This window comes from Homo sapiens, chromosome 4 (assembly GCF_000001405.40).
Source record: "Homo sapiens chromosome 4, GRCh38.p14 Primary Assembly".
NCBI lineage: Eukaryota > Metazoa > Chordata > Mammalia > Primates > Hominidae > Homo > Homo sapiens.
The window spans coordinates 188,110,942-188,131,140 of NC_000004.12; the positions used below are offsets into that span (position 1 = coordinate 188,110,942).

Here is a 20,199-nt window from a genome sequence, read left to right on the forward strand (position 1 = left end):
TTCATAACTCTTGAGCTTACTCATCTTGACAAGAAAACTTTGTAATCTTTGAATCAAATGGAAAATAAACATCAAGCATATTGTCAGGTTTTGAAGTCTCTTAAAGCCTGTTTTAGAGTATTAAATGCTTAAATAAATACTTATTAAAGCCTGTTTTACTATTAAATAAATATTTATTAATAATTAAATTATTAATTCTAGAAGAGTCAATATTTTAAGATAATTCTAAAAACATTACAAAAAAGTGTGCTAAACCCTTATTTACTGTTACATGCCCCACCTGTTGCATGCTCCAACCCCGTGAGGTACATCTGCAGCTGATGAAGTAGATGACGTAGAGATTAAGTCACGGGATTAAGTAATTGACCAAGAGCACTGGGTGCAGAAAATTGAAGATATGGAATTTGAATCGGGTGCCAAATTTCATGATATTTCCTTATTATAATTATTTGTCCTTATTAAATATTAATCAAATGGCTTGACAATTTACAAAAAAGATGCCTCAAATTTGTATGACAATTTATCACGAGATGCTTTCATAGGGCTAGAGTAATCACATTACAAGGAACACAGATCATTTTAAGGTAGTTAGATTTTTCATAGGAAAACTTTTCATTAAAATGAAAATCCTGAAGAAATGTAGTTTTTTTTCACTGTCAAAGAACAAATACAATTATGAATGAGTGAGTCATTGTTCTCCTGAGTCATTTCATGAACTTATAACAGTCGTATCCCAGCCGGGCACTCTGGCTCATGCCTGTATCCCCAGCACTTTGGGTGACCGAGGCGGGTGGATCACTTGAGGTCAGGAGTTCGAGACCAGCCTGGCCAACATGGGAAACCTCATCTCTACTAAAAATACAAAAATTAGCCGGAAATTGCTTGAACCCAGGAGGCGGAAGCTGTAGTGAGCCAAGATCGTGCCACTGCACTCCAGCCTGGGCAACAGAGCAAGACTCGGTCTCAAAAAACCAGGACAAAACAAAAACAGTCCTGTCCCCTTTGTTAGCCACATCACCTTCACCACTCGCCCCAGGCTGGCATACTCTCGGCTTCTGGGTGGGATGAGTATGGCTGGTGCCAAACAAGGCTGTATTTGTTACTTTGGACCAAATCTGCGGCAGGAGACTACCACCTCCTCCCATTCCAGAAAAGAACAGCTGGAGGCGGGGGTGTGCTGGTTGTGGTCCCAGTGTTATCACTCATCTGGAAGGTGTGGCTTCTCTCTGGCTCCTTTTCTCCAAGGCTGCTCCATTAGAAGCAGGGGCTTGGCTCTCACTGGTTTACTTCCCACAGCTCTAAGAGGTCCAGAAGTCATGTTCAACTGCTTCTTCCTTGCTTAAGAAAGCATTAAAACTTAAGAATCAGGCCAGGCGCAGTGGCTCACGCCTGTAATCCCAGCACTTTGAGAAGCCGAGGCAGGCGGATCACCTGAGTTCCGGAGTTCGAGACCAGCCTGATCAACATGGAGAAACCCCGTCTCTACTAAAAATACAAAATTAGCCGGGCGTGGGCGCATGCCCAGCTACTCAGGAGGCTGAGGCAGGAGAATCACTTGAACCCAGGAGGTGGAGGTTGCAGTGAGCCGAGATCGCGCCACTGCACTCCAGCCTGGGCAACAAGAGCAAAGCTCTGTCTCAAAAAAAAAAAAAAAAAATTAAGAGTCAAACATTATGGGGGCCGGGCACTGTGGCTCATGCCTGTAATCCCAGCACTTTGGGAGGCCGAGGCAGTTGGATCACAAGGTCAAGAGATCAAGACCATCCTGGCCAACATGGTGAAACCTTGTCTCTACTAAAAATATAAAAATTAGCTGGGCATGGTGGCGGGCACCTGTAATCCCAGCTACTTGGGAGGCTGAGGCAGGAGAATCGTTTGAACCCGGTAGGCAGAGGTTGCAGTGAGCCGAGATCACAGCCACTGCACTCCAGCCTGGGCGACAGAGCAAGACTCTGTTTCAAAAAAAAAAAAAAAAAAGAATCAAACATTATGGTCGACCTCATGATAGCACAGTTACCCATTTGTTGTTGTAAGTCAGTGCATGCTTATCTGAACCCAACATGTTCAGTTTGCTTGCACTCTTTTGTAAGGAAGATAATCCTCCTAACAATTCCAGCAGAATTAAGAGGTCACCTTCACCTCACCTATTACAACACCGGGACAAGCCCTATCGGTTTTCACCAGACAGAATACCCTCAGCAAAAGGAACGGGCTGGTTTAACTGAAATCAGTGAATCCTGAGCAAATAAACTTCGGATTTTTGCCAAAGTTCACAGGCTGAGGAAAGCATCATGTCTCATGGATGAAGTTAGACTGACGTGGGCTCTGATTCCAGCTTGGCCACACACTTGTCATGACCTGCAGCAAGCCACTGAACGCTGAGCATCACTTGCACCATGAGTCACCGTCACCATCTTCCACAAGTCTCTGAGCATTAGGAGAGGTTCGATGAAATACACGTAGGAGCGAGGAGGGTGGTAATGAGAACAGAAATTGCTCTCTGAATGAGTATGCTTCCTCTCCTCACCCAGAGTCATTCTTTTCAGCAAAGTCAAGAGCACGGCCCTCTACATAAGGGAGAGTGCAGCCGGGAAGGTGATGGAGGTGGTAGAGATGAATTATTGGCATATGGGAAATAAAGAGATCTTTGATGCCCTTTTCAGTTTCTTTTGTTTAATAATATATATATTAGTAATGTAGTAATTGCGTAATTGATATCAAGGCATATATTCAGCTTTTATTAATGTAATGTTTATCTGAAAACTTTTAGGCCACTGGTATAATTTTTTTTTTTTTGATACTGAGTCTTGCTCTGTCACTCAGGTTGGAGTGCAGTGGCACGATCTCAGCTCACTGCAACCTCCGCCTCCTGGGTTCAAGTGATTCTCCCACCTCAGCCTCCCGAGTAGCTGAGACTACAGGTGTGTGCCACCATGCCCAGCTAATTTTTGTATTTTTAATAGAGACAGGGTTTCACCATATTGGCTAGGATTGTCTCGATCTCCTGACCTCGTGATCGACCCACCTTGTCCTCCCAAGGTGCTGGGATTACAGGTGTGAGCCACCGTGCCCGGCCACTGGTATAAATTTTTAGGAAGAATTTTTTTCTGTTCCATTATAGTCAGTTTCAACAATAAAGCCTCATTGTCAAGATATTAAAATCGCTGGGCATGGTGGCGCCCACCTGTAGTTCCAGCTACTTGGGAGGCTAAGGTGGGAGGATCTCAAGCCAGAGAGGTCGAGGCTGCAGTGAGCTATGATTGTGCCCCTGCACTCCAGCCTGGGTGACAGAGTGATACCCTGTCCCTAAAATAAATAAGTAATAAAAATGTAACAAGATACTAAAATCTACATGCTGCTCACTATCATTGGAGGATATGCATCTTTACACCCTCCTGAAAGAAGGAGTCAAAAAGCCTCCTCCACACTTTAAAGTTATGTGATAATCTGGATACCCTTCAGGACCTGGACCTGTTTAAAAAGACTGGCATCAAATGTTGTAAGGGATTGGATCTCAGAGAAAAAAGCAGCTTTATAAATAAACTTGACCAGAAGTTATTATGCCGGCAATATTCGTTCAAACAGAAAATCTGGCCAGGCATGGTGGCTCATACCTGTAATTCCAGCACTTTGGGAGGCCAAGGTGGGCAGATCGCCTGAGGTCAGGAGATCAAGACCAGCCTGGCCAACATGGTGAAAGCCTGTCTCTACTAAAAATACAAAAAATTAGCCGGGTGTGGTGGCAGGCACCTGTAGTCCCAGCTACTCAGGAGGCTGAGGCAGGAGAATGGTGAGAACCTGGGAGGCAGAGGTTGCAGTGACCCAAGATCGAGCCACTGCACTCCAGCCTAGGGGATAGAACAAGATTCTGCCTCCAAAAAAGAGAAAAGCAAAGAAAAGAAAATTTTATGTCGTCAAAATATTTTTACAAAACCAGGTGTTAGTCTTGCAGAACTTAATGCAGTTGAGTTAATTTATTCAACCTACTCAATTTAGTACACAGTAGGGTTGTACTACTGTGAACATAGTTTCATAGTCTGATTGGAATGAATGAAGAAAGATGGCTGAGAGACAAAATAAATCAATAAATCAGTACTATCCATCTTCTCTCAAAATATAATGCAGGAAATCCTTCTCCAAATCCACCTTCAATAGTAGCCCTAGTAGTGATGTAAACAAGAGTATTTCCTCAGCATACTCAGTCCCTTTACTAAACTTTACACTACGTTTCCTGGCTGCGACGGCTTAGCATGGATCCGTTGATCAGTATTGTCGGTGCAATCCTGGAGAGACACTGCTTTTTTGCTTCTCTTGTTAAAGTGGTTAAAGTGAATGTTAAGTAGAAAAAGGGCGTGGTTTGCTAGGGTGAAAGCAGCACAGAGATAGAAAACATCAGGGCCACCCTGAGTAATGCACATTTAAATTTAACCAGGTAGGATATAAACTATGGATTGCTTCTTAGTCATAAAGTACCTTATATAAAGAAAATGGAGGCCAGGCGCGGTGGCTCATGCCTGTAATCCCAGCACTTTGGGAGGCCGAGGTGGGCAGATTGCCTGAGCTCAGGAGTTTGAGACCAGCCTGGCCAACATAGTGAAACCCTGTCTCTACTAAAAATACAAAAAATTAGCTGGGCGTGGTGGCGGGTGCCTGTAATCCCAGCTACTCGGGAGACTGAGGCAGGAGAATCACTTGAACCCGGGAGGCAGAGGTTGCAGTGAGCTGAGATCGCTCCACTCCACTCCAGCCTGGGCGACAGAGTGAGACTCCATCTCAAAAATAAATAAATTAATAAATTAAAAAAAAAAAAAGAAAGAAAATGGAAACAGCCAGGCACGGTGGCTCACGCCTGAAATCCCAGCATTTTGGGAGGCTGAGGAGGGCGGATCACCTGAGGCAGGGAGTTCAAGACCAGCCTGACCAATATGGAGAAATCCTGGCTCTACTAAAAGCACAAAATTTGCTGGGCTTGGTGGTGCATGCCTGTAATCCCAGCTACTCGGGAGGCTGAGACAGGAGAATCGCTTCAACCTGGGAGGTGGAGGTTGCAGTGAGCTGAGATCGTGTCATTGCACTCCAGCCTGGGCAATAAGACAAAACTCTGTCTCAAAAAAAAAAAAAAAAAAAAAAAAGAGAAGAAAAGAAAAAAAGAAAATGGATACAAACATGAAGTTATAGAAAAGTAGTGGAGATCATGTAGTAAAGTAAAAAGATCTTATGGATATAACTCTTTGGGAAAAGTTATAAACACAAATATTTTAGTAAACATTGTAAGACTAAACTAGCTAATGCAAAAGACTGTTTTCTAAGATTCGGAAGTTTACACGGGATACATCTACCTAGGCCTAGTGTGCTTTCTCAGGTTTTGTTTCTTTAAAAACTTAATAATTCTCTTGGTATTATATTCTCAAAAAAATTGTCTGCAAATGATTTTAGCTGAGCATCCCTCTTGCAGGTAGAAGAAGGATAAATCTGACAGAAACATCCATGGGCTGTATGTAGTAATCACAGTTCGTGTGTGTGCATGTGAATAAAATATGTTTCTTTCACATTATTAAATCGTTTTTTCTTTTGAAATGAAGTCTTGCTCTTGTCCCCCAGGCTGGAGTGCAATGGCGTGCCCTCGGCTCACTGCAACCTCTGCCTCCCAGGTTCAAGCGATTCTCCTGCCTCAGCCTCCTGAGTAGCTGGGACTACAGGCGCCCGCCACCACGCCCGCTAATTTTTTGTATTTTTAGTAGAGACGGGGTTTCACCATGTTGGCCAGGCTGGTCTCGATCTCCTGACCTCATGATCCGCCCACCTCGGCCTCCTAAGGTGCTGGGATTATAGGCGTGAGCCACCGCGCCCGGCCCACATTATTAAATCTTAATATTTATATCATTTCCACTAGTGTAGATGCTAACTTAAATGCTTGGTCTTGATCTCTGATCATTACCAAGTCAATATATCTAATACTTAAAATTAATGTTTTTCCCTCTGTTGCTGAGGCTGGAGAGCAGTGGCACCAACACGGCTGACTGCGGCTTTGACATCCTGGGTTCAAGCAATCCTCTCACCGGAGCCTCCTAAGTAGAGACACACGCCATTGCACCTGGCTATTTTTTCACAAAGTTTTTTGTAGAGACAGAGTCTGGCTTTGTTTCTCAGGCTGGTCGCAAACTCCTGGCCTCAAGTAATCCTCCCCGCCAAAGTACTGGGATCACAGGCGTGAGCCACGGCGCTGGCCCTGTTAGAACATAGAGCTAGCTTTGTCAATGCTTTTTCATCAGTAGTAGGTAGAATGTAGGGACTGGTTAAATGTTACGGTGATTACAATCTTGAAAGAAAGTAAGTGGTATCATTACTGCCAAATAACTTCTTCTTTAGCCTGTAACTATTTCAGTGCGCATTATGATTGTAACTAGAAACAATGGAGGCAGGAGCCAGGCCTACATTTTATCTATTATTCTATCTGCTTAGTGCAAAAGTCCCTGACTCCTAATCCAGGATTTTTTTTTCTCAGAGGGTTAAAAATAGTTTTCTTTTTAAAGATTTGTGGACTGGGCAGACAATTAATGGTACAGAATCCCCACGCATATTGTGGGAATGAAAAAAAAGAAGACAGGATGCAGAGTTCTAATGGCACAATTGGCAAACAGAGTAGGAGGCAGTCTCTAATAGCATCATAAACGAAAACAGCCCCCAAATACCTAGGAAGAGCTCTTCCTTGTCTGTAACAAGCTTTGTTTGAGGAACTAATAGTAAAGAATGTGGTTACAGAAAATACAGTGGTGTCTGCCAAGCACCTCGGCAAATACAAATCCACACTGGAGAAAGAGACGACTTTGTCTTCCGAGATACCTGCCTGACTCCTACTGCTCAGCCACGCTTCTCTCCCACACGCACCCCCAGTAATGACTCCAGAGGTCAAGTTCTGAGTTCTCACGATGGCAGGAGAATCAGCCTGTCAAGACGGTCACCTCGATTAACCACACACTGCAAATCTGAGGACTCCGTGAGGGAAGGGCTCTGTTCCTATCCAGGGTTTAGGCACTGGGATTAGAGTTCTCCAGAAAGACACAATCAGTAGGATAGGTAGAGAGATGCATGAGAGGAGGTGTATTAGGGGAACTGGCTTATGCTATTAGGAGGCTGATAAGTCCCAGGATGCGACACACCCTGGTGTGTCAGCTGGAGGGTGTGTCTCCAGCCGGAGACCAGCCACGTGTGAAGGCCTTAGAGCCAGGGAGGCCGATGGTGGGGCTCGTGGCCAGGGCTGAAGCCCTGCAAACCCCGGCTGCTGCTGGTGTAAGTCCTGGGGCCCAAAGGCCTGGGAACCCCGAGTTCTGGTGAACAAGGACAGGAGAGGAAGAGGGCCTGCATCCCACCACAGAAGATGGACACACAGATTCAGTGCCCACCCGATTGAGGGTAGATCTTCCCCATCCCCTCCAGTGTGACTCTCACCCTCATCTTTTCCAGAAACACTTTCACAGACACACCCCAAATAATGCTTTCCCAGGTTTCTAGGCATTCCTTAATTCAGCCAAGTTGACACCTAAAATCAGTCGTCACAATGCGGGGGAAAAAAGCATAGCCCCCACCACAGCAATGTATAGACATGTCATTATGTTCTCGCCAACAGGTTCTACCACAAAGTTTTTGTGCCACTTTGTAGAGTCCTTTTTTTCTTTTTTCTTTTTTTTAAGACAGCGTCCAGGCTGGAGTGCAGTGGCATGATCTTGGCTGACTGCAACCTCCACCTCCCAGGTTCAAGCGGTTCTCCTGCCTCAGCCTCCCAAGTAGTTGGGCTAAAGGCGCCTGCCACCATGCCCGGCTAATTTTTTGTATTTTTAGTAGAGACAGGGTTTCACCATGTTGGGCAGGCTGGTCTCAAACTCCTGACCTCAGGGATCCACTTGCCTTAGCCTCCCAGAGTGCTGGGTTTACTACAGGCGTGAGCCACCACGCCTGGTCACTCTGTAGAGTCTCAAAGAGAGAGGGTGTACCCTTCTCCTCTTGAGCCTGGCTTCAATGTAAACATAATGATAGAAACTGGGTCATCAGATATCCTGTAGGACGGAGGCTGTATGTGTCGAAGAAACGAGAGTCGAGGTCCCTGAATTCATTCTGCCTACTGGGTATTAAATGAGGAAAATAAACTTCCACCCGTTTTAAGCCACTGTTACTTTGCTTTTTACTGTCACACATAGCTGAAGCTAGTACATTGGATACATTGACTGTCCTAAAGTTAAGATCTGGAAGATCTAACATGGACAGCTGAGCATGGGATTTATTTGAGTTTGGGATAACTCATGGGATCATTCTGAGTTTTTTGGCAGTGATGGCGAGGGGAGGTGGCTTAGGAACAGGAGATAAAGCTATGGAAAAAGCAGTGTTAATCGTGGAGGAGGACTCAGACTGTCTCTGCCTTCTAGACTATGTGGCTTTAATAATGAAGAGCTGCAACATAAAACCTGCGAACCAAAAGCATTTTCTTGAAACTGATAGTTCCTGAAAAGAGAGAGGATAGAAGGAAACCGCTATTTCTATCTAAGTCCTGTGTCCCATGGACAGTTTCATTTGATTTTAATCCTGTATGGGTAAGCCTTGGTCTTTTCCCTTGACTGCTCCAAGCTTGGAGGTGCAGTACAGTGATAGAACAGCCGTGAATCCAGGCCAGCTCGCCTGCGCCACTGCTGACTTCGCCTGAAAATTCTCTCATCCATTCTTACCATCTTGCTGCATGCTCAGGCCTTCTCAAAACCACCTTGGGGACGTTCTTCATCTTGGAATGGTGCCTGTGAACAAAGATGGAGTTATTCTGTTTAGGTAATGCTAAGAAAAAAATTTGTTTTCCTTACTCCCTTCCCTCACTGGATACCTGCAGTAAGTAGGCCATCCCTTAGACACAGGCAGATAGAGAAGAGGCACTGTGGTGGGCAGAAATATGAGAATGCCCCCAGGATTCTCACCCACTAGTACACATACACTTTCTCCCAGTTTTTCAAACACATACTAATCTGGGTGCTGGCCAGGAGCGGTGGCTCATGTCTGTAATCCCAGCACTTTGGGAGGCCGAGGCGGGCGGATCACAAGGTCAAGAGATCAAGACCACCCTGGCCAACATGGTGAAACCCCGTCTCTACTAACCTCCAAAAATTAGCCAGGCATAGTGGCGTGCACCTATAATCCCAGGTACTCAGGAGGCTGAGGCAGGAGAATCGCTTGAACCTGGAAGGAGGTGGAGGTTGCAGTGAGCCGAAATCACACCACTGCACTCCAGCCTGGGCAACAGAGTGACAGAGTGAGACTATCTCTCAAAAAAAAAAAAAAAAAAAAAAAATCTGGTTGTTGATGTGAGGGATTTTGCAGATGTAATTAAGGCCAAATCAATTGACCTTAAGGTAGGGAGACTGCCCTGGATAGGCCTGACCTACTCCTGTGAGCCCCCAACAAAGACTGGGTTTTTGTGGTGAGGAAGACACAATGTGAGGGATTGGTGGCTTGGGAGAAGGATTCTGGAGAGACACACGGCGGGGATCTGACAGTGGCGGACAGTGGCCTCTGACAGCAACTCTCATTGACAGTCAGCAAGAAAATGGGGTCTTCATCCACTCCTGTAACTTTAAGGAACTGAGTTCTGTCAACGATGTAAATGAACTTGGAAGAAGACCCCAAACTTAAAAGAATACATGCTGTCCAACCTCTGAGACCCTGAGCAGAGATCCCAGTCATGGGATGCTGGATTTCTGGCCTGCAGAACTGTGAGCTCGTACATGGGTGTTGTTTTCAGATGCTAAGTTTGTGGTCACCCGTTACAATGCAATAGACAACTGACGCAGACACTCCACTGAACTGCTCAGTGACTAAGGAGATAAAGAAAGAGGATTAGAAGTGGATTCTTCAAGCAACGCCTACATCTTATGTTGGGTTCAGGAAACAAATCAAGCCGGGCGTGGTGGCTCACACTTGTAATCCCAGCACTTTGGGAGGCTGAGGTGGGTGGATCACCTGAGGTCAGGAGTTCGAGACCAGCCTGGTCAACATGGTGAAACCCTGTCTCTACTAAAAATACAAAAATTAGCTGGGCATGGTGGCACATGCCTGTAATCTCAGCTATTCGGGAGACTGAGGCAGGAGAATTGCTTGAACCTGGGAGGTGGAGGTTGCGGTGAGCCAAGATAGCACCACTGCACTCCATCCTGGGCGACAGAGTGAGACTGTATCTAAAAAAAAAAGAAAACAAATCAAGAATTCTGTTCTAACTCAAAATTATTTTATTAGACCAAAATGATAGCCTCAACACAAACCTAGAATAGCTTTGACACAGAACTTAACCTAGAAAGAAAATATACTCGGTGAGGATTTTTTCATGAGAAAGTAGTAAATTTTACCCTTCCCCTACAAGGGTGAAACCCTCTCCCTGAACCAAAGTTCTTTAGAAGATACAAAGTATTTGTTTTCCAAAAATTCACCCTACTTGTCACTATACCTGTTCACACAAGACAATGAACTAAATGTCTTCACATGTTCAGTGAAATGAGCACAAATTGCTACCAGTTTCAGTAGTTTTACATTTTATTTTAAGAATTTTCTTATTTTAAGAAAACGTGGAATGCTTCACGAATTTGGGTGTCATCCTCGCACAGGGGCCTTGCTAATCTCTGTATAGTTCCAATTTTAGTTTATGTGCTGCTGAAGCGATCATGGTTTCCGTTTTTTTCTGACCAGATTCTGCATAAGAGAAGCCTCCTGCAGGTATTGACAGATTCTTGCATTTTCTTTGTTTTTCTCCACTTCCTACTCATTCACGAGAGGTTTCACGTTTGACTACTGGTAGTTAACTGTGTAATCCACGTGGTTGAAGTTCGTTCCACGAAGTTAGTGGCGTACCCGCTCTCAGTCTTACAGAGGCTAACAACAGGTAGTCACAGATTGTTACCTGTGGCTTTCCACTTTAAGGAGATAAATCCTTCTTCAAAGGAAATCCGACACACAGCACACACACACGTAGTTGAAATTCTCATCCAGCCCTTTGTTTATCCAGCATCTGTTTGTTGCTACTCTCCATATATATGCACAGAACTGTTAGAATGCAATTTGTGGAGAAAAATAAAATACCCACACACACACACACACACACAGTCCCCTCCTCTTGGGCCAGTTATTCTAGACTGCAGGTTGCTATGTCAGTTGAATTAACCATGACCAGTACTAAAAAAAAATACGATATTTGGGCCGGGAGTGGTGGCTTACACCTGTAATCTCAGCACTTTGGGATGCTGAGGCGGGCAGGTCATTTGAGGTCAGGAGTTCGAAACCAGCCTGGCCAACATGGTGAAACCCTGTCTCTACTAAAAAATATTAAAAAATTAGTCGGGCATGGTGGCACGCCCCGTAATCCCAGCTACTCGGGAGGCTGAAGCAGGAGAATCCTTGGAGTGGGAGGTGGAGGTTGCAGTGAGCCGAGATTGCACCACTGCACTCAGCCAAGGCAACAGAGTGAGACTCCATCTCAAAAAAAAAGATTCAGGGCACTTTTTCTGCAGCAAAGATAAAAGTGTTTCATCAGTTGCATGTCCCATGTCGTGTAAAACTGTGTTTCTTCCAGTGGGTCGTGGTCAATAGTATGAAAAGCACTGACATAAGGGAGTTACAGTCTAAGGCAAGAGACAAATGGCAACACTAAGGCATTGAAGGAGAGATAGGAAGAACTATGAGCTCTTGTATCAGAGGGGGAACTTAATTAACCAAGGAGACTTGGAAATGCTTCCCGGAGGAAGCTCAAGCTGAGAAGCAATAAGTGGGGTAGATGCCCTTTACCCTGAGGTATCTTCCATTAATCCTCGCAGCTCACTTCTAAAAGTAGTCATCGTTGGGCAAATAGATGAACGAAAGCTTGCTTTCTTCTTCAAAATGATTGGTGGTTTAAAAGGAAAACTATTACCGAGTACAAAACAAATAAATTTTTTGTTTCTTCTTTTTTTTTCTTTTTCCTTTCTTTTAATTTTTTTCTTTGTTTCTTCTTATCATCTAGAAGTGCCTTTGGTCTGGTCCTTTCAAAATCTTGAGGGTTTTGCAAAGGTTAGCATTTTACATGGAGGTTCCCATGGCTCTGTAGCAGATCTTATATCATAAGTGAATTTATATAAAGGTTAGGGGAGCCACAAGGGCAGTATTTTTATACGTAGACTATCTGGAAGGTTTGTATTTATAAAGCCAAACCCCAAAATAGGTTTTCTTAAACTTTTAAGTTTGTTTAGAGTTGTTATATAATTCTAGTAAATTTTACCACTCAAAGACCCTTATGCTTGGTCTCGTTTACAAAGCTAGACCATTTTATATAGTGAGGATATAGTTATCAATGAACGTAGTCAATATTTTTAAATAGTTTAATTGTCTGACTTGAAAAATATCCTTCCTCAGCAAGAAATTCTTTTTTTTTTTTTTAATTTGAGATGGAGTTTTGCTCTTGTTGCCCAGGCTGGAGTGCAGTGACGTGATCTCAGCTCACTGCAACCTCTGCCTCCTGGGTTCAAGCGATTCTCCTGCCTCAGCCTCCTGAGGAGCTGGGATTACAGGCACACGCCACCATGCCGAGCTAATTTATGTATTTTTAGTAGACACAGGGTTTCACCATGTTGGCCAGGCTGGTCTCAAACTCCTGACCTCAGGTGACCCACCCGCCTCAGCCTCCCAAAGTGCTGGGATTACAGACATGAGCCACCGCACCCGGCCCAAAATTCTTATATGATAAATCAAACTTATAAAAATAGTGAACCTGATATTCTGAAACATCACAATGCTTTGTATATATTTAAACCTCAACTTAGAATCACAAATCTAAATCAATGACTCAATTATATGTTTTACATTGGAGTTACTTGGTTATTTCCATAGCTGAGTTCTCCTAAATATCACAAGCAAAACTAAATAGATTTTTACATATCCAAAAGTACGAAGACTCTGGTTATGGTACTTCTTTCAGTTAAAAGGCACTAGCCTTCTAGGGAATCACTGTCATTGGGTTGGACATTTCAGCTGGGCGTGAACTCTAAGGCAGCAGATACCCAGGGTGCTTCTCCTCAGCACCCACCACGGAACTGACCTCCCACCACATGATGCTGATGCTTCCCTTCCTATGTGATTTTTTGGTATTTCTTTTGCAGCCTGCTTGAAGTGACATAATGACCAGATACGTTTGTGAGGATGCTGACTGGGATTTGGTCAGAGGCCCCGGTAGGCCCACTGAATTCTTACCGTACATCAGTGACCTCATAACCTTTCAAGCTTTCTATTCATGAAGCTCAAAACACCCCTCTCAGTAACATACACACATCACTTGATAGATTTTGCATTTTCTTGGCTCTTAATATACTCAAATGCCTTTTTCATTTAAATCTAGAGTTTGATCTGGATGAAATAATGCATTTTTCCATATATAGGCATTTCTGCTACGTGCAATGTATTTTCCTAACAAACAAACAAAAAGACACCCCACTCTGCCAGATAATGTATTAAAATAATAGTGCTTCCGTAAGAGTTAGAGTGGAACACTCAATCCCTATACAACTCAAACCAGATGCTTACAAAATGTTAACAGCCCTTAAAAAAAGGCCACATATAGAGTCGAGGACACATAAACTTCTAACAACGACAAAAACAAAAATACAGGGTAACTATTGAATCTGCTTTTTTTGGAAGTGAAAGTTATTTGATAAGAAATTTGGGAAAGGGTTGAGGCTGCCGAGTTAGGGTGGCCAGGACAAGAGGCACATAGGAACAGCAAAATCAGCATCTCTATGACAGAGTATCTGGTCAAACTGAGCCAAGAAGAGTGTGGTGTGGATGGCTGTCGTGATCTCATCATAGCAGAGAGATCACCCCACTGAGGGCTTGCTGCCTTGGCTGCGTTAGTGTTCTCTGCCTTCGACTGCTCTTACTTACAACCAAACTTCAGTGTGCCAGGGAAAGGACATGTTTGAATCAACATGATTTTCTTGTCATACTAAAACAAGTCCTTTACTTTGCATTATAGAAACATGTTATTTTTAGCCCTACAGTTGATTTCTAATCCTCGTAGGACAATTCCCAAGGATGTTTAAGATCTATTTGAACTTTGAGTTTCACCTGCCTTCTATAATCATGACAGTGGAGACTCCCCATTCTACATATTCTTTCTGGACAGTTACCTGTGATCTAGTCTTCAGCTACCTTCTGTATGCCAGAACTTCATCTCTAGTTTAGGTCCCTCTGTTCGTCTTCAGGCTCATAAGGATGTACATATTGATCACTGGAGCTCTCTATCCAGATATTGTGCAGGACACCTCAAAGTCAAGGTGTCCAAGATGAAACATGTACATATATATACACCATTCTCTCCCCGTGTCAAAGGCAACCACATCCACTCAGTTTTTCAGGAATGCCAGTATTGTCTAGGAAAGACTATCTGCGTCATATTTCTATAGTTAATTACTAAGTTTTAGCTATCTAAGACTTTTTTTTTTTTTGAGATAGAGTCTCACTCTGTCGCCCACGCTGGAGTGCAATGGCATGATCTCGGCTCACTGCAACCTCTGCTTCCTGGGTTCAAGCGATTCTCCTGCCTCAGCCTCCTGAGTAGCTGGGACTACAGGTGTGTGCCACCACGCCTGGCTCATTTTTGTATTTTTAGTAGAGACAGGGTTTCAACATATTGCCCAGGATGGTCTTGATCTCCTGACCTTGTGATTCGCCTGCCTCAGCCTCCCAAAGTGCTGGGATTACAGGTGTCAGCCACCGTGCCCTGCATGTCTAAGACTTTATACAACATTAAAGTCCACTTATCTCTATCCCACTGCCACTACCCCAGCCCAGCTTCTAGCTGAGAACTGCAACCAAATATCAAGTTTTGTGACAGTGTAAACTATTTTGATCCCAACCTGAAGCCAGTCAAAATAAATAAATAAATAAATAAAAAATAATCTTTCTCTGCCAATCTCTTGTTTACCACTTTGGTGGATATATATTTACTTTGGAATTAAGTACACATTTTTTAGATGTGCAAGGCCCTGCCTATTTTCTCCCAAATAACTTTTGCTGATGAGGAGCTTGACTTACTCCTCCTTCCAGTCCTTTCTACGTAATAATGGTGCCCTCTGAGCCTTCTTGTTCCTTCAAACCCTATTAGGATGGAAGAAGTGACGCTTGAGTAGAATCCTTAACTATTTCTTTGAAACTGTTTCTGGCTTTGGTGCTTTGTGTACTCACTACAGCCATTTTACCATAGTTTCTAGATCATGACTGTCCAGTGACTTTTCTGACTCTTCCATGAGGATAGTTTCCTTGAGGCAAGAACTCGCTATATTTTCTGGCCTTTATATAGTTTGGGTGCTCACATTTGGCCAAATTGGTGTTTACACTGTGGTGAGGAGAAGCTGCAGCCTGTGACCCTGGACTCACTGAAGACTCCTCGTTAATCAAGCGGCCATCCTTATTCGGAAGAGCCCCAAGCATACTCACCTGTTCATTTTTCTCTGCCGAGGCAGTTGTCCGCTTGTGAGACCATTGCCTTGTGTAGAGAATTCCGGATTTCTTGGGCCTCATTCTGAAAAGGATAACGATTATCCTCTCTTGGAGGTTGCTATGCTAGAGCTATAAAGTCAAAAGTAAGCATAAATTTAGGCGTGAATTAGAATGTGGAAATTAGCATTACTGTCAGTCAAAACGGGGCTTTTGGGGCTCCTGAGTCTCCGTTGTTGACAGGTCAGGGATAGAAAATGAATGAGCTAGTAGGAATTGTTTTGAAGACCCCACGTCTTCAAAGACGGAAAGAATGATCAAGAATGAACCCCTGAAATTTTCTTTTTTTCTTTTTTCTTTTTTTTTGAGACAGAGTTTCATTCTTGTTGCCCAGGCTGGAGTGCAGTGGCACAATCTCAGCTCACTACAACCTCTGCCTACCGGATTCAAGCGATTCTCCTGCCTCAGCCTCCCGAGTAGCTGGGATTACAGGCATGTGCCACCACGCCAGGCTAATTTTGTATTTTTAGTAGAGACGGGGTTTCTCCATGTTGGTCAGGCTGGTCTCGAACTCCCAACTTCAGGTGATCTGCCCACCTCGGCCTCCCAAAGTGCTGGGACTATGGGCGTAAGCCACTGCTCCCAGCCTGAAATTTTCAGAGTAGACAATCTTACCTTGAAGATGACTTTTGCCTTCCCAGTGATGAATTTTGAGAGAGACTTGTGTTGCTGAGACAGAACACGAGTCTCACACAGGAGCATCAACTCTGTCAACACAAGCCTTCAGGCTTTTTGGGTGCATCTCACATATGCTATTCTTGAAATCCATTACATGACATCTCAGATGCTTTGCCATCTCAGCCATCATCCCCTACTGCACAGCAAACCTTGGAGCCATAACCAGATGTTCCTTTCCATCTCCCTAGAGGCACTCACAGCAAGGCCTGCGTGCACCTGCAATTACAAGTGGTTTGATCAAATGATGCGAATGGATAGAACAAGTCAGCTCTTTCTTGAAATCTGGTAGATCCAAGCTAGCCTTCATACTTTGCAGGGAGGAAGAGAAGGATTAAGGAGAGAAAAATCAATAAAAACCTCTCATCTTGACCTGATTTTTTTGCAGCAACAGGAATTTGTCTTTAATGTCAGCTCACGATCACATGCCTTCATCTTCTGAGTCACACTCTGACTGAGTCACACTTGCCATTCTTAGCCTGTATAGAAGTTGTCTGGGACTTTCCTCCCTCCACCCTACACCTCCCTCAGAATGTTACTGTCTACCCACACTCATCTGGGAACTCTCATTTGGAATGAGGGGAGGGAGGCACAGTTTTGCTAAGAGGCAGAATAAAAGCATGCCCCGGGTGCCAGCCTCCAGCTGCCTGGGAACCCAGTCTTTGTGAGGTGGTTTTATTTGTGAAAGTCGTGATTCTTAACTTCTTAACTTCATTGCATGTTAGAATCACCTGAAAAGTGACAACAATTCTGATTCTTTTTTTGTTTTTTTTAGACGGAGTCTCGCTCCGCTGCCCAGGCTGGAGTGCAGTGGCGTGATCTCAGCTCACTGCAACTTCTGCCTCCCAGGTTCAAGTGATTCTCCTGCCTCAGCCTCCCGAGTAGCTGGGATTACAGGCATGTGCCACCACACCCAGCTACCTTTTGTATTTTTTAGTGAAGACTGGGTTTATCCATGTTGATCAGGCTGGTCTCGAACACCTGACCTCAGGTGGTCTGCCTGCCTCGACCTCCCAAAATGCCCAGATTACAGGCGTGAGCCACGGTGCCTGGCCTTGCTGGCTCCTTTTGAAAGCCCTGTCATAAACTTACCTAGAAGTAAGCGCTCTCTTCTCTGGCCTTACCAACTGCGGCTACAAGTAATCAATGAGCATGGGAGGAGTGTCCCCAGGCAGCATCTGGCACCAATTATTATTGGATAGTTCAGGGGCCAGGGGAACCTCAGCCCATCCACTGCCAGGGACGGACTTGACAGGATCCTTGCCCAGCAAGCCTCCTTTTGGTCACAAAACTCAAGGAGTCTGGTTGCCAGCCAAACTCCTTGAGTTCTGCATTTGTGGCTCATTCAGTTCTGTGGAAATGGCAGCATGGCTCTGTGGTTGATAGCCTGGACTCTGAAATAAGGCCACCTCTGGGCCGGGCGCAGTGGCTCACGCCTGTAATCCCAGCACTTTGGGAGGCTAAGGTGGGTGGATCACAAGGTCAGGAGTTTGAGACCAGCCTGACCAACATGGAGAAACTCCGTCTCTATTAAAAACAAAAAAAATCAGCCAGGCGTGGTGGTGGGCACCTGTAATCCCAGCTACTCAGGAGGCTGAGGCAGGAGAATCGCTGGAACCTGGGAGGCAGAGGTTACAGTTAGCAGAGGTCGAGCCACTGCACTCCAGCCTGGGCAACAAAGGGAGACCCCATCTCAAAAAAAAAAAAAAAAAAAAAAAAAAAGGCCACCTCTGTGAATCTAAGAGAACTCACATAACTAGAGTTTGTTTTCTCATCTGTAAATGGGGCAGGAACTCATGTCCACCTCACAGGGTCACATGTTGAAAGTGTTCAGAATGGTGTCTGGCAAGAATTGGGTGCCATTAGAACAACTAGTCTCGTTTCTTTCCGTTAAAGATCCTATTTTTTGCAGGGGGGTGAGAGGTAGAGTCTTATGGATAAATGTTAAGATTTCTGGGCCGGGCGCGGTGGCTCACACTTGTAATCCCAGCGCTTTGGGAGGCCAAGACGGGTGAATCACAAGGTCAGGAGTTCAAGACCAGCCTGGCCAAGATGGTGAAACCCCGTCTCTACTAAAAATACAAAAATTAGCCGGGCATGGTGGTGGGCACCTGTCATCCCAGCTACTCGGGAGGCTGAGGCAGGGAATTGCTTGAATCTGGGAAGAGGAAGTTGCAGTGAGCCGAGATTGCGCCACTGCACTCCAGCCTGGGCGACAGAGAGAGAGTGCCTCAAAAAAAAAAAAAAAAAAAAGATTTCCCTAAGAAAAGCAAAAAGTGGACTTTCTCATTAAGGAAGTGGTGTGCACTTATAGTCCCAGCTACTTGGGAAGCTGAGGCAGGAGGATCACTTGAGCCCAGGAGTTCAAGGCCAGCCTGGGCAGCATAGCAAGACTCTGTCTCTACAGAAACAAACAAACAAACAAACAAACAAAAAAAACAGATGAGGAAACAACGTGTATATACTTAAGCATCTGTTTCCCTATAAAATACTAGTTTAATGTGGGATGATTATTTATTTCCTAATATACTGGGTGTATTACACCACCTAGAACTTAAAAGGTTTTTAATAATTCCTGCAGAATTAAGTGATAGAAGCAAGCACAGAACAAGTGACCTTTGATCTCAAGAGTTTTTCTAAATTAATCTGCTATTATTCTTTACCAATATTAAATCCTATACACATGGTAGTAATTCAAATTATTTATCTCTAATAATCTCAAACCCCAGAATCTGCATTAGAATGAGGGAAGAAGTTAAACTATAACTCCTTTTTTTTGAGACGGTGTCTCACTCTTGTCGCCCAGGCTGGAGTGCAATGGCATGATCTCGGCTCACTGCAACCTCTGCCCCCTGGGCTCAAGTGATTCTCCTGCCTCAGTCTCCCAAGTAGCTGGGATTACAGATGCCTGCCACCATGCCCGGCTAATTTTTCTATTTTTAGTAGAGATGGGGTTTCACCATGTTGGCCAGGCTGGTCTTGAACTCCTGACCTCAGGTGATCCACCCACCTTAGCCTCCCAAAGTGTTGGGATTACAGGCGTGAGCCACCGCGCCTGGCCTTAGACTATAACTCCTAAATGTCAACCAAGTGTTTAAATTCTTATTTGTCTTATTTGTTTGAACTGCTTTTCAAAGTTTCCTGCCCAGGCTCCCCAACTTACACAATTTCTTTTTGACTTCTCCCCCATTTTTTTAAATCTCTTTAAGAGACAAGTACATAAAGCACCCAGCAGAAAGCCTGAAACAAGGAAATTTTCTTCATTTAACATTTATTAAAGCAAGGGGATGAACAATATAGCCTTTATTCTCCAGAAACAAACAAAGCACCTCCCCCTAAATCCTCAGGGAAGCTACGCAGATGGAAGCTCTAGAGAGCACCTCCCAGTGTCCAAGCTGGGCAACTGGTTGAGAGTGGCTGGGTTCCACACACCAGGAAACCTGTGCAGTTACAGTGCCCGGAACCTTCCCCACAGATATGGCCCCATGTCTTGCTGTGTAATGTTAAAGGCGAATATTGTCAAGCTGAATTGTGTCTTTAAATATTTCAGAGATAACAAGAGTGTTGCGATTTTTGTTTGTTTGTTTGTAATATTTTGACTCACCGTCAATCAGATTACACATTTTATTTCTGAAATATTCAGTGAGTTTTCTCACTCCTAAATAGTAGCTTATCTCTTCAGTTGAAATACGTGTTAGTCCGTAAAGGTCCAGATCGAATACCATTTCTCCCGGAAGTTTTTTCTAATTGTTCCAGCAAGAATGTCATGTTCCCGCCACTAAAATGCCAAAGCAGTTAATTAATTTAAATTCTACCACTCTCAGGGCACACGTCTTTTCATTTCGTAGATTTTTCTTCTTCTTTTGCACGTATATCTTCTGCTCCCAAAGAAGAGAAATAATTTTTAGTCACTTTCAGCACTGAGCTCATTGCTCTCTATATAATAGAGGCGCAATATCTAATCGTTAAATAAATAAA

General features: G+C 44.2%; 1 long non-coding RNA gene and 1 pseudogene across 1 annotated transcript, besides 3 other annotated features; both read right to left on the bottom strand.

Annotated features, from left to right (window-relative positions):
- Window positions 1,326–1,843: an enhancer, noted in NCBI's record as "H3K27ac-H3K4me1 hESC enhancer chr4:189033421-189033938 (GRCh37/hg19 assembly coordinates)". NCBI's record gives its function as "activates a minimal SCP1, AML or CMV promoter by ChIP-STARR-seq in naive H9 embryonic stem cells {active_cell/tissue: H9 hESC(naive)}" and the evidence as "EXISTENCE:reporter gene assay evidence [ECO:0000049][PMID:30033119]".
- Window positions 1,844–2,361: an enhancer, noted in NCBI's record as "H3K4me1 hESC enhancer chr4:189033939-189034456 (GRCh37/hg19 assembly coordinates)". NCBI's record gives its function as "activates a minimal SCP1, AML or CMV promoter by ChIP-STARR-seq in naive H9 embryonic stem cells {active_cell/tissue: H9 hESC(naive)}" and the evidence as "EXISTENCE:reporter gene assay evidence [ECO:0000049][PMID:30033119]".
- Window positions 8,418–16,621, bottom strand: LOC107986337 (uncharacterized). The gene is made up of 3 exons (XR_001741958.2): window positions 16,162–16,621; window positions 15,487–15,618; window positions 8,418–8,783 (listed from the first exon to the last, which is right to left on the bottom strand). It is a non-coding gene; the product is annotated as an uncharacterized LOC107986337 (long non-coding RNA).
- On the bottom strand, window positions 10,590–10,693 carry RNU6-173P (RNA, U6 small nuclear 173, pseudogene; annotated as a pseudogene).
- Window positions 15,872–17,071: an enhancer, noted in NCBI's record as "MED14-independent group 3 enhancer chr4:189047967-189049166 (GRCh37/hg19 assembly coordinates)". NCBI's record gives its function as "activates an origin of replication core promoter dependent on BRD2, BRD4, P300/CBP and CDK7 cofactors, and independent of MED14, by STARR-seq in HCT116 cells {active_cell/tissue: HCT116}" and the evidence as "EXISTENCE:reporter gene assay evidence [ECO:0000049][PMID:35650434]".